General features: G+C 38.9%; 1 protein-coding gene across 1 annotated transcript in view, besides 2 other annotated features; it reads left to right on the top strand.

Moving 5' to 3' along the window:
- Positions 1-12,846, top strand: part of ZNF804A (zinc finger protein 804A) — a 340,964-nt gene that overhangs the window by 75,405 nt on the left and 252,713 nt on the right. The gene's annotated exons all lie outside the window — the stretch shown is intronic.
- Positions 11,613-12,118: an enhancer, noted in NCBI's record as "H3K27ac-H3K4me1 hESC enhancer chr2:185550273-185550778 (GRCh37/hg19 assembly coordinates)". NCBI's record gives its function as "activates a minimal SCP1, AML or CMV promoter by ChIP-STARR-seq in naive H9 embryonic stem cells {active_cell/tissue: H9 hESC(naive)}" and the evidence as "EXISTENCE:reporter gene assay evidence [ECO:0000049][PMID:30033119]".
- Positions 12,119-12,622: an enhancer, noted in NCBI's record as "H3K27ac-H3K4me1 hESC enhancer chr2:185550779-185551282 (GRCh37/hg19 assembly coordinates)". NCBI's record gives its function as "activates a minimal SCP1, AML or CMV promoter by ChIP-STARR-seq in naive H9 embryonic stem cells {active_cell/tissue: H9 hESC(naive)}" and the evidence as "EXISTENCE:reporter gene assay evidence [ECO:0000049][PMID:30033119]".

Consider the following 12,846-nt stretch of genomic DNA (forward strand, 5'->3'; position numbering starts at 1 on the left):
TTGACTTTGACATTTTATGTTACTCACAAATAATAAACTATCTCACCCGCTAGTGAAATTGTTGCAGTTTTATTCATTTTTTCATGTTGGTTCTGAATTTTTTATGTGTAAATGCAGAGACACATTTAAAATTTAACTCTCACCATTTTCAAATGGCAAGTTTTTTTATTGTAAGAAACTTGAAGATTTAAAATAATTTGTTATGACTTTGGTGTCTGTTCCTCATTTCTCTGTACTGTTTCATCGCAGTGCAACAGTTTAATGTTAAAAAATATTAAATATTACATTGTAGAAATTTAAAATATTTATGTCATTATCCCTCTTTTCTTTTAATTGGTTGGCTTCAGACTCATCTTGACTTAAAGTTGTGGAAACTAATAATCTTAAAGCATAAGAGAATAAACATAATATTCAAATTTGCTTACAAGGACTAGAAGAAGATGTATTACTATGACATATGAAGGCTTGTAAATGAAGAAACACAAGCAGAAAATCACAAATAAAAAAGAGAACATGATTTTTTGCAAAACAACATAATGACATAGGGAATCAAGAGACAAAATTTGAAAGAAAATTAACTCTACATTATAAATAATAGTGAAACTTGAGATTGTGTGAAACTAATTTATTGATACCTAGGAATAATGAGAGGGTAGAAGTATAAAATGAAGAGGATAAGGGAAAGGAGAGGAAGAGGAGAAGAAAAACAGTAGGATGGGATGGGCATCACTGGAGGATATATAAGTGTGAAGGAAAAAGAATGTTGATTCAACTTAAAAATTACATGTTTTTCTGAATTAGAGACCAGAATACAGGAATACAGATAATATAAAGAAAAATTATTTTAAAATTTTCCAAGTCTAAAAAAAGTAGAATTATAAAATGTGAACAACTCACTGTTAAAAAAAGTAAAATTCCATGTCAACAACTTTTTAATTAAAATAATAAAGAAAAAGAAACAGTCTTATAAATGTCTTCCTAAAGTTTACTTATTAATTGATGAACATAAAATAATGTCAGTGGTCCATACCTACACACCAGATAAAGTCATACATTAATCTGTTAAATCTTATATATGCCTTAGTTATGTATATACGTATGTGCGTGAACATGGCTGTACATGCACATAAATACATGGATGTATGTATTTATGTAAGTATGTACTGTGCATGTATGAGTGTTTTGTGTTTAGTTATGAATGTATATATAGATGTAGATGCATGTGTATACCTACCTATGTGTATTCACACAAAGAGACGTATGTTCACACACACATATATATTAGGAACATGCATGCGTATTGAAAGCATTGAACATATATTTTTCATATTATTGTTATTACTAATCCTATTATGACTATCTTAAAGTACTATTTTTACAACTACTGCTGTTATTGTCATATCTCCACAATATAAAGCAATAAATTTGACTTACTTTTGTGCACAGGTTTGTTTTTTACAAAATCATATGCATCAAACCCTAGCATTATTACATATTACAATGATATATTTTATTTAATTTTCTTGCATATGTTTGATAATTCTTTTTAAATAAACGGTAAGTTAAATCACTGCATGTAGAGCAAAACCTGAGATACCTAGATTGTTTTGTTATGTATAAAATCTAAAAATGTTTGAACCTTACTGTGTGCCAGATACTACTGGGACTATTTTTTATTTCTATTAACTCACTGAATTCTCACAATAACGCTATTAAATAGATACTTTTTAAATTTTCATTTTGTGGAAGAAGTGAGGCACGGAGATATTTAATAATATTCTGATGGTCTCATAGCTAGTAAGTGAAAAACAAAATCAGATCTCCAACATAGTACCTTGTTTGCAGCATCTGTATTCTGCCCCTACTATTCCTGTCATTTCTTTTTTCATTGGATGAAATACTTTCCACACTAGTGAACACAAGAAAAATATATTATCATTGAACTAGATAAGCTTATATACATTTTAATGTATGTACTAACCTCAATTGTTTATTTTCTTGTTTGGTTATCAAAACATTAAGAACATTTATTAAAAAAAATTCAGTAACTCAGTAATGAAAATACCACAAAGAGGGATAATATGTATATTTATGACTTCTACTCACATTACTTACAGAATTATTTTCACATTTACATGAAAGTAACCAAATCATGTTGGCCATAGCCATTATAATGATTTTTCATAAAGAATTCAGTTTATTAACTAAAACTGATATAATTCTATCCCCTGAGATTGAGTGGGAATTCCATTTTAATGAAAATATACTGAGGACAATATGTCAAGTAAAGTTTATTGTTATATTAAATATTCTACAGTGAATATATGAATTATTTAGCTAGGATATAGATATCTTGCTTCACTTTTTTTTTTCCAAATCTTAAAAGTCAAACATTAGAAATATGTTTGAAAATATTTAAAAAGCATTAATCACACACACTCACACACATATGCATACACACACACTCTATTCTGGATTTTGTATATTTGTAAAAAATAGTTTAACATATTATCAAGGTTGAAAATATATTTTAATTTACAATATTAGGTTGATAATTGAATCTAAGTTAATAAAGACTGAACAAATTGATGAAGACATTATTAAAATAAAATAATTTTGTATTATATGTTAATAATTTCCACTACAATATCATATACAATATGAGTATTTTTGTGAGATCCCATAGGCAACAGTATAAATATAATGTTTTTTCTGAAAGCTGTTTGTAGCACTGTGTATTCTATAATCTATTAATAAAAATGCCAGTTATATTTTAATATGACCATAGTTTACTGGTTAATCTGCACCCACAATGCTCTAGGAGATCAATAGTATCTTGAACTTTACAGGACCACACTGTAGTGTTCTATGACCTTTTAGACTTCTGAAGTGGACTATGTTCAGTACATCTTACATTAAAAAACAAAACTGTTAAATAACTGTCTACTTCTACTAAAAATATAAATGTAAATAGGTTCAACATAAATAAATTTTATTAAAAAAATATTTATTTAACTTTACTCTTCATTTTGTTTGAAAGTATTATTCAGGATCAGGTAAATCTATTATATTTGGAGTTAAAAACATTGAACTTTTCAAGAACATTGTACTAAAGCAGTAGAACAAAAAAGAAAAAAAACATTTATTTTTTCCCTATTATTATCAGATATACTTGTTCTGATGATTTCAGCTACAAATAATAGAAACACGGAATCAATGTGCTTAAACTGTATAGGATTTATCATCACACATAACAGAAATCTGAGGATTTAGAAAGGTTTCAGGTAGTTGATTCAAGAGATATAATCAACAATACAATTTTTTTCTAGGTTGTCATTCTTGATGTTGATTGTCGTCATCACATCCAGGCCATATAGTAATATCTAGAGGATAAAGAGAGATCATTTCCTCCTGTTTATGGCTGACTCACTGTCACTATTTCCTTGGTCAGAATTGGGTAAATTGCTCAATTCTTGGGAAGAGAAATGAGATTACCATGAGTGGTGTAGACAGTACACGGTCATCTGAGATAGAACAGATCTTGAAAATTATCTACAATGTCAATAATACTGAGTCTACTCAAAACTAGACAAATAGAAAAAATATGAATTCCAACTGGCTATATTTAGGGCATAAATTGATCTAATGACTCATATAATTTATAACATCAAGGTATTAAAAGTTCAGAATATAACCCCAAATCTTTGTCTATATATTTTAAGTAATAGTTATTATTATTTAAGAACAAAATCACTGCTGTAAGTAATATCAAAGTTATATTACTAACTCAATGTTCAAAATGATTTAAAAGAAAGCACATTGCAGTGGGAGAAATGCCTTCCTCAACTTTGAGCTCTCTTTAAATTCTATATTTATTGCTATTATACTGATAAATCAGCTTTAAAATTATATAATTTTTATCCTGTTTCTATTGGAATTCGGTCCCACCACAGGCTTGCATGAGTTTACAACCTAGTGAGTTAGTCCAGGCTGTAATGTTAAATAATTTACACTATCTGACTATCATATCCACTGGTTTTAACCCAGTGGTTAACATCTTAACCTTTTAACATCTTAGAAGGTCTGAAGATCTGGATATTTATTTTTTAAAAGGTCAGAAGCACAGTAATAATTAATTAGTTAGTGAATTAATTTAACCACAGATTTGACTCATTTTCACTGTTGTTTTAATATATCTCCATATACTTTGAAGTTATATGTATTTTATAACTTTCGAGAGCATTATTTCTTTAAAACAGTGTAAGTGATTATATATTATAATACTTAAGAAGAAAACTTTTATGTGGTTTAATATAATTTTGAAGTAGTCAGCTAATCATGTGAGTGATTTTTTATTGCAGGCATTCTGAAAACCAGACAGTGTGCTATACTGGTATTTCCAGTATTGATATTCAAAACCGAATTAAGTTTAATATAGGAATGATTTTCTGTATTATCATGCTTATTTTTATATCAAGTCTATTTCCTACTATCCACTTTTTCTGATTAACTTAGAAATGCTTTCTGCTGAAAAGTCACCGTAGCAACTTTGCAATATTTAAATGTACTTGAAAGACATAAGAGAACAAGGAACACATGCCTGACTTTTTCAAGCTAAATGTCCTGATTTGGGGACAGATTGAAAGAAATGAATAGTCAACAGAGATACAGGATGATGCCGGAGAAAAGCATTTGCATTGCTTTTCTTGATTTAAGCCTACAATTACCAAATAATAATCTTCTACCTAAGTATAGCCCACCTCAAAAGCCAAGGATAAATGTGTTGTCAAGAAAAACAATGAACACAATATTAACATGAACTAATGGGTGCTGAATGCTACAGACATACCAAAATGTATGTGTAACACTATATACTGAAGAGGAATAGGATGGAAACAGTTGAGGGGGATCTCAGTGATATTCAGGAGAATGCAGACAGAAAAAATATCTTAGTGTATTCTTACAGATTCAAATATCAAAGTACAGAGATATGATAAACACAAAATACATTTAAAATATGGAAACAAACCATACATATTATTATAAATATATAGTGAGACTCGGTTATAAAATACCTGACTTTAATGTAATAATAAAAAAATAAAAGAAACATGTCTAGTGACAAGACAAAGTAGTAGAATTCCATTGTAGAAATTTGTACTGTTAATTGGCAATTAATGAATCCCACAGAATAGAATGTGGATTAAGATGTTGAACGTAGATTCAGACAAAAAATAAATTAGGTGAAATGTGTTTACTTAGAGGAATGTGCTATAGATCACTGGGTTAGGTGGAAGATGTGGATGATGTTTTCATAATCCAAAGATACAATAACACAAAATACAAATGTAACTAATAGACAAGGTAGATGGGTCATTGCGATGGCAGCGGGGACCCATTTGTAGCAGCCATTGCAAAGATGCCAGCTGTAAGTGGGGAGGCATGACCAGGGATGCATGCTCCATGGAGCTGGAGGGAGCTGGGGACAGGTGGAGCCCCACCCCTTATGAGTTGGTGGGGCAGGAGCCCCACCCTCCCCGGTGCAGCTACTACTGCCCAGCCACTACTGTGGACCTGGACATCTCTGCACTCCCGGGGGCTCAGGAAACCTCTGCCTCCACAGGCTTGGAAGTGCCTGCTCTCGCTATCTGTCCTCTCCCCACTCCTTAGGCCTGCTCTGATTTCAGAGCAAAGTTGAGGCCAAGCCTGGGCACTGTTGCAGCCTGGCTCAGTGTGCACTCACTTGGGGCAGTGCTGACATGACAGCTCCCTATTGTCTCAGCATCCTCCAGAATTTGGGCCCCGATGAGCATGGGAAGAAGGTAGAGAAGGGGCTAAGGGTGGCTTGTCATGGGCTGGGAGGCTCCCCTTGGCAAGAACAGTCTGGGCTCCATGGGCACTGTAGATGGCAGGTTAATGGCGGCAGGGAGCAGATGGGCTCCTGGGCAGAAAGGTGTGAGTTCCCAGTGAAACCCCACCTCTAGGCCAGGGAAGGCCTGAGCTGGGCTGCCAGTTCCCAGGCCCAGAGTAAGAACTTATGGTGCTTTTTCTGGGCCTGCTCATGGCCACTCATGGACCAATCAGCACACACTTTTTCACCTCTGAAGCCCATAAAAGCTCCAGATTCAGCCAAACTTGGGAGATGACCTGAAGACCTGCCTTTGGAGAGGAGCTACCCACTGTGGGTCTCCTGTCTGCTGAGAGCTGAACAGACATCAGGAGGACCTTCCTTTGGAGAGAACTACCCACTGTGGGTCTTCTGTCTGACAAGAGCTGAACAGATGGGATGACCTACCTGCGGAGAAGAGCTACCCACTGCGGGTCTCCTCTCTGCTGAGAGCTGAACAGATGTGGGGAGGACTTGCCTATGGAGAGGAGCTACCCACTGTGGGTCTCCTCTCTGCTGAGAACTGAACAGATGTCGGGAGGTCTTGCCTGTGGAGAGGAACTACCCACTGTGCATCTTCTCTCTGCTGATTGCTGAACAGATGGGATGACCTGCCTGTGGGAAGAGCTACCCACTATGGGTCTCCTCACTGCTGAGATCTGAACAGACACTGGGACAACTTTCCCATGCAAAAGAGCCACCTGCCTGCAGAAAAGACTGTGCATCTCTTCTCTGCTGAAAGCTGGACAATCATCAGAATGATGTTCCTGTGGAAAGGAGCTAACACTTGCAGGTCACCGCTGAGCTGTATTGTCACTCAATAAAACACCTCTTTGTCTTGCTCAACCTTTACTTGTCCATGTTCCTCATTATTCCTGGATGTGGGACAATAACTTGGGACCCACTGAATGGCAGGGCTGAAAGAACTGTAACATGAACAGGGCTGAAACATGTTCCTTGCTTGCCATGTGGCAGGAGATGAGAAGGAGAGAAGAGCTGTGGTTCTTCAGGGAGCTTAGACCTAGGAGCTCCCCCAAGCCAGGGCTGTGACAACCACTTTGGGGCTCTGCAGTTGCTGGCATCTACAAGCAACCAGGCATCACTGTGCCAGCAGTGGAAGCTGCTTGCAGTGTGCCTGGTCCAGCTGCAGCCTCATAGGGAGCCTGCACCTGTGCTGGCACCTGGAGCTGACCATCCCACCACAGCTAGCATGCCTGGCTGGACCCCACGCTCACTCGCTCACATACCCCTTGCTGCTATGTTCCTGGCTTGCCCTTGGAAGGTGCAAGATCCAGGGCAGTAGCACAAGCCTGAATGCAGGCTGCCTGGCTGAGTGGGTGGAATGAGCCCAGTGGGCCCAGGCAAAACTCAGGCAAAGTCACCACTGGCCACAGAGGTTCCCAGATGGAAAAGTGACATCCTGAGGATCCCATGACAAGGAGAGACTTCAAGAGCCTACACTATGCCACAAAAAAAATCCCACTAAAAGCAGATTGTAAGAAAAATATTAAAAGATTCTTATGTTACCAAACAAAAAAGACAGCCCCAATGATGCTAGGACTTTGAATTAATTTCTGCCTAACCAGAAAGAGCTGATATCAAAGTGACATTATTCTTGTGCAAAAGTAGCATACTGTCGGTGGATCTATGGGGAGTGCATGGTCTATAGAGAATTTAAAAATAATAATATAGCAACTAAAAACAGGTCTGAGTTTTAATATGACCATATGCCAGGAATTCTGAACAATGTCAATAACAAACTCCTCCAATTATCATTTATTGGTTTAAGTTCTAAGCAATTGCTGCTCTTACTGATGGCATCCGCAGCCTGTCTGGTGCAGTCACTGCAGGGATGCCAGCTTCAACAGGGGAAGTGCAGCCCGGACTGTGCACTCCATATAGCTAGCAGGGGCCAGGAACAGGAGGGAGTCCCACCTTCTACTGAATTAAAGGGGCAGGAGCCCCATGCTTCCCAACACAAATGCAGCTGCCCAGATGTGGCTCTGGACCCAGGCATCCCTGTGCTCTCAGGAAGCCCCTCCATGCCCTCACAGGCTCCAAAGTGCCTGCTCTCGCTCCCTGGCCTCTACTCACTCCTGGCACCTGATCCAATTTCGGAGCACATATTAAGCCAAGTCGGAGTGCTGTTGTGACCCAGACACATGTGTGCATGCTTAGGGCAGCACAGACACGACAGCACCCCCTGCCGCCTCAGCCCCCTCTGAAACTTTGGGCACCAACAAGCTTAGGGAGGGAGACCAGTGAGGGCTGAGTCTTCGCATGGGCCTGCAGTCAGCTCATGGCATGAACAGCCTGGGTGCCATGGGTGGAGTGTTGATGGCAGGAGGCAGACACATTCCTGTGTTGAAAGGGGTGGGCCCTGCCAGGCAAAGTGGGCAGAACAAGCCCGGAGGGTGTCAGCAATGCTCAGACAGAAGGCACCAGTGGCCAAAGAGGTTTCCAGCTGGTGAAGTGACATCTCAAGGACCCCATTACGTTATGGTTGAGTATTGATAATATGTATTTAATCTTTAAGTAGTATATATTAATTATTTATATTTTAGTAATCATTTTACGTGGATGTTAATTTGGAGTACTTCCAGTTATACAATCAGCCCTTGACATGGGTAGAATTAGCTACATTTGATTTTTTTTGTGACTTTTTTTTGCTTGAGAATTAATTCATGTGGTAGAAGATGTCTTTCGAGACGCAGATGATGTCTCCAACCCTTGTGGCACTGCATACTCCTTCATTAAAATAACAGATTGTAAATAGGCAATTGTAGTACAGTGATTTTACAGATGGGAAAAACAAACAAAATGAATTATTTAACTCTGTCATTCGATATGCAAATCAATCTGAATTTTGTGGCGTTTACTCTTATTGAAGCATTTTCTCATGGGTTTCCACCCCCGGTAAGTTAGATTAATGTAATTAAACTTTGGAATGCTGAGGTGGGTGGATTGCTTGAGCCCAGGAGTTCAAGACCAGCCTGGGAAACATGACAAAACCAGATCTCTACAAAAAAATACAAAAATTAACCCAGCATGGTGGTGTACCCCTGTAGTCCCAGCTACTCTGGAGGCTGAGGTGGGAGAATCACCTGAGTTTACAAAGTCAAGGCTGCAGTGAGCTGTGATTGTGCCTCCGCACTCCATGCTACAATGAAACCCTCTCTCAAAAAATAAAATAAAACAGAGTGAGACCCTGTCTCAAAAAATAAAATAAAATAAAAACATCAATTTAGTTTTTATTTTTCTTATTTGAATTGCAGCATGTATTTTATTTGAATTGCAGTATCTATTTTATCTAATTTTCCTTGGCATCGTATTATGTCTCTGTGTTGCAGGTGTTGTGTGCTAGGTATGTGTAATTCAGTACAATGAACAATTCAATGTCTACTTTTTAAACCCACATTATTATTTGTTTCATTTCATGATTATTAATTTAGTTGTATGGGGGATATACACTTTTTTTTCTGTAGGTTTCAAGTATGTCAAAATAAACCTCTTTCGCTATACAACTTTAAACTGAAGTTATTCAGCCACATTTTACATTTGAGATTACAGTGCTTTTATATTTCCTACCTATGCAACATATTCTTAATGTTGGAGGTCAAATGAATGATAAGCCCAAATGCAAGTGTTTTGACTTGCTTCCATGGTAATACTTTCCCACCATTTATTGTTCTTATTTATTTCCCTGCATCACTGCCCCAAAGATTGATTTTTCAGAATTTTGGGCTATATCATTTTTTTCTTCTTGAGCTTCAATAGCAAGAACAGTTCCTAAAGCAGAGTTGCTAAATGGAAAAGTGTATATGAATACAGGCAAGGTAGAGGGTGAGGGAAGTGAGACAAAAAAATTGTACAATGCTGATTTAAGAGTGCCATAAGGAGGTCTATCCAAGAATATGAGAATATGGAAAAGTATTTTAATAATAATATTCAGTAAAATATTCTATAATTTTTCTCCTTAACATAGCAAAAAATTCAATTTATGTTGGTTGTAATAATGTCAGCTTTCTTATCATATGTTCTATTTAATGCTTTAATAATATCTAATTGGGGCCTCATTATTGTCCCTTGCTCTAGATAGCATCCTCTATTGTTTCTTTTGTGGTATATGTCTGTTTTATGTTTTATTTGGTAACCTTTTATTGACTACCAGTAATGTCTCTTACCTTGATCTCCTCTTCCATATTTAGTTTGCTATTCCTTTAAAACATGTCTAGGCAGACGTAATTGTAAGCAGGCAGATGGCTGTAGAGTGATACTTTTTGATAAGGAAGTGGCTTCTTCTGAAGCTATGACTTTACAACCACCCTTGCCTAAGGCGTAATGAATGATTTGTGAGTTTGTACTGGATACTTTTAAGTTCCAGGAAGACAGAAAAATAATGTACATAAACACGGACATTTAAGAACAAAGTGCCTGAATTTCTATGTTGATATTTTGTTTGCTAACAGTAGGGGTACACAAATAAGTGTATATGGGTAGAAAATTGTGTTTATGTAAATGAATAGGATTTCTCTGTTAATAACTACCCAGTTAGTACAGCTATAAGAAATTTGAAATTATAAAACTAAATTTATTTTGTTTTATAAGCTCTATCTAATTTATGGTGGAAAGCTCTATATGTTGCTATAAACCTTACAGTCTGCAGTATGTATGGAGGCTGAGTATTTTTCGAGAGAATATTGTATATTTGCATGCTGAAGAATCATTTTTTGTTTTGTTTTCTTTTTTATTAAATGTAAACTTATATTTTACATACTGGGGGGTACATGTGCAGGTTTGTTGTATGGATATATTATGTGATGCTGAGTTTTGGGATATGGATCCCATCACCCAGTTAGTGAGCACAGTACCCAATAGGTAGATTTCCCTCCCTCCCTCCCTGATCTGGTAGTCTAAAGTGTCTATTGTTCCCATGCTTCTGTTAAAGTTAATATTTAGCTCCCACTTATAAGTGAGAATGTACGGTGTTTGATTTTCTGTTCCTGAATTAATTTGCTTGGGATTATGACCTCTAGCTCTGTCCACATTGCTGCAAAGGACATGATTTTATTCTCTTTTATGGCTGCATAGTATTCCATGGTGTATATAGGTCATGGGATCTATGGTGGTGCCTTCTGCCTGAGTGTTGCTCACACCGGCTGGGCTTGTTCCGCCCATTCAGCCCACCAGGCTCCTCTCAGCTCGTGTAACCAGCCTGGATCCTACACCTGCCAAGATTGAGGGAGGCATGTAGTGGGGAGGAGTATGGGGGTGAGTGAGCGTGGGGTCTAGCCACTGCACACAGCCAGGCACGCTGGCTGCTATGTGGGGGCAGGCAGCTCCAGGCTCTGGCATAGGTGCTGGCTTCGTGTGAGGTTGTAGCTGGACCAGATGTACCACATGTGGCTTCTGCTGCAGGCCCCCATGTCTAGATGAAGGGAATGCAGTGGCACCCAGAAGCTTAAAGATGCCAGGAACTGCAGAGCCCCAAAGAGAGTGTCACAGCCGTGGCTCAGAGATTCCCTATGTTTAGGCTCCCCAAAGGGCCGCAGCTCTTCTCTCCTTCTTGTTATCTGCAATGTGGCAAGCAGAGGGTGGGGGCATGTTTCAGCTCTGTTTGTGTTACAGCTCTTTCAGTCCCCCCTTTTGTAGGGTCCTGAGTTCTTGGCCCACGTCTAGGAAAAATGAGGTATGCGGACAATTGGAGCATGAGCAAGGCAGAGAGGAGCTTCATTGAGTGACAGAACAGCTCTCAGGAGACTAAAAGTGGGTAGCTCCTTTCCACAGGCAGGATGTCCCAATGTCTGTGTGAGTCTGGAGTTTCTATGGGCTCAGAAGGGAGAAAGTACATGCTGGTCAATCCACGGGTGGCCATATGTGGGTCAGGAAAAAGCACTACATGTTTTCATTCCAGGCCATGGACTCTACCTGGAACAGGCAGCCCGCTTCAGGCCCCCAGGCTTCAGTTCATTCATGGCTTAAAGGTGGTTTCACCAGGGAGCTGTCCCTTTCAGCCTAGAAACCTGTCTACCCTCCACCATCAACATCCAGTCCTTAGCGCCCAGGCTGTTCATGCCAAGGGGTGCCTGCAGGCCTGTGCCAAGCTGCCCTCAGCCTCTGATGGCCTTCTTCCCATGCTCATCAGTGCCCAAAGTCTGGAGGGGGCTGAGGTGGCAGGGGCTGGCATGTCAGCACAGCTCCAAGTGCACGTACACCTGGCTGGTTTGCAACAATGCCTGGGCTTGGCCACAACTTTGCTCCACACTGGAGTGGGTGCTGGGTGTGAGGAGAGGCCAGACAACAGGAACAGGCACTTCTGAGCTTGCGGGGCAGGGGCTTCCCAGGCCCCCAAGAGTGCAGGGATGCCTGGGTCCAGAGCCAAAGTTAGGTGGCTGCAGCTACACTAGGGAGCCTGGGGCTCCTGCCCCACCAACTCAGTAGGGGGCGGGGCTTCCACCTTTTCCAGCTCTTGCTGGCCCCCTGGAGCATGTAACCCCAGCTGTGCCTCCTACACTGCAGCCAACATCTTCTCAGTGGCCGCTCCAGACAGACCGCTGTTGCCATCATGTGTACCACTCTTTATCTACATCATATGTACCACACTTTCTTTATCTAATCTACCATTAATGGACACCTAGGTTGATTCCATGTCTGTGGCTATTGTGGCTAGCACAACAGTGAACATATGAGTTCATGTGTCTTTTTGGTAGATGATTTACTTTCCTTTGGGTATATGCCCAGTAATGGGAGCATTGAGTTGAATGATAGCTCTGTTTTAAGCTCTTTTGAAAATCTCTACACTGTTTTCCATGGTGTCTGAACTAATTTATGTTCCCACCAACAGTATATAAGTATTTCTTTTTCCCATCAGCCCTGACAGCATCTGTTGTTTTTGACTTTTTAATAATAGTCATCCTGACGTGTGAAAAGTTATCTCATTGTGGTTTTGATTTGCACTT

The sequence above is a fragment of the Homo sapiens genome, chromosome 2 (assembly GCF_000001405.40).
Source record: "Homo sapiens chromosome 2, GRCh38.p14 Primary Assembly".
Classification (NCBI taxonomy): domain Eukaryota; kingdom Metazoa; phylum Chordata; class Mammalia; order Primates; family Hominidae; genus Homo; species Homo sapiens.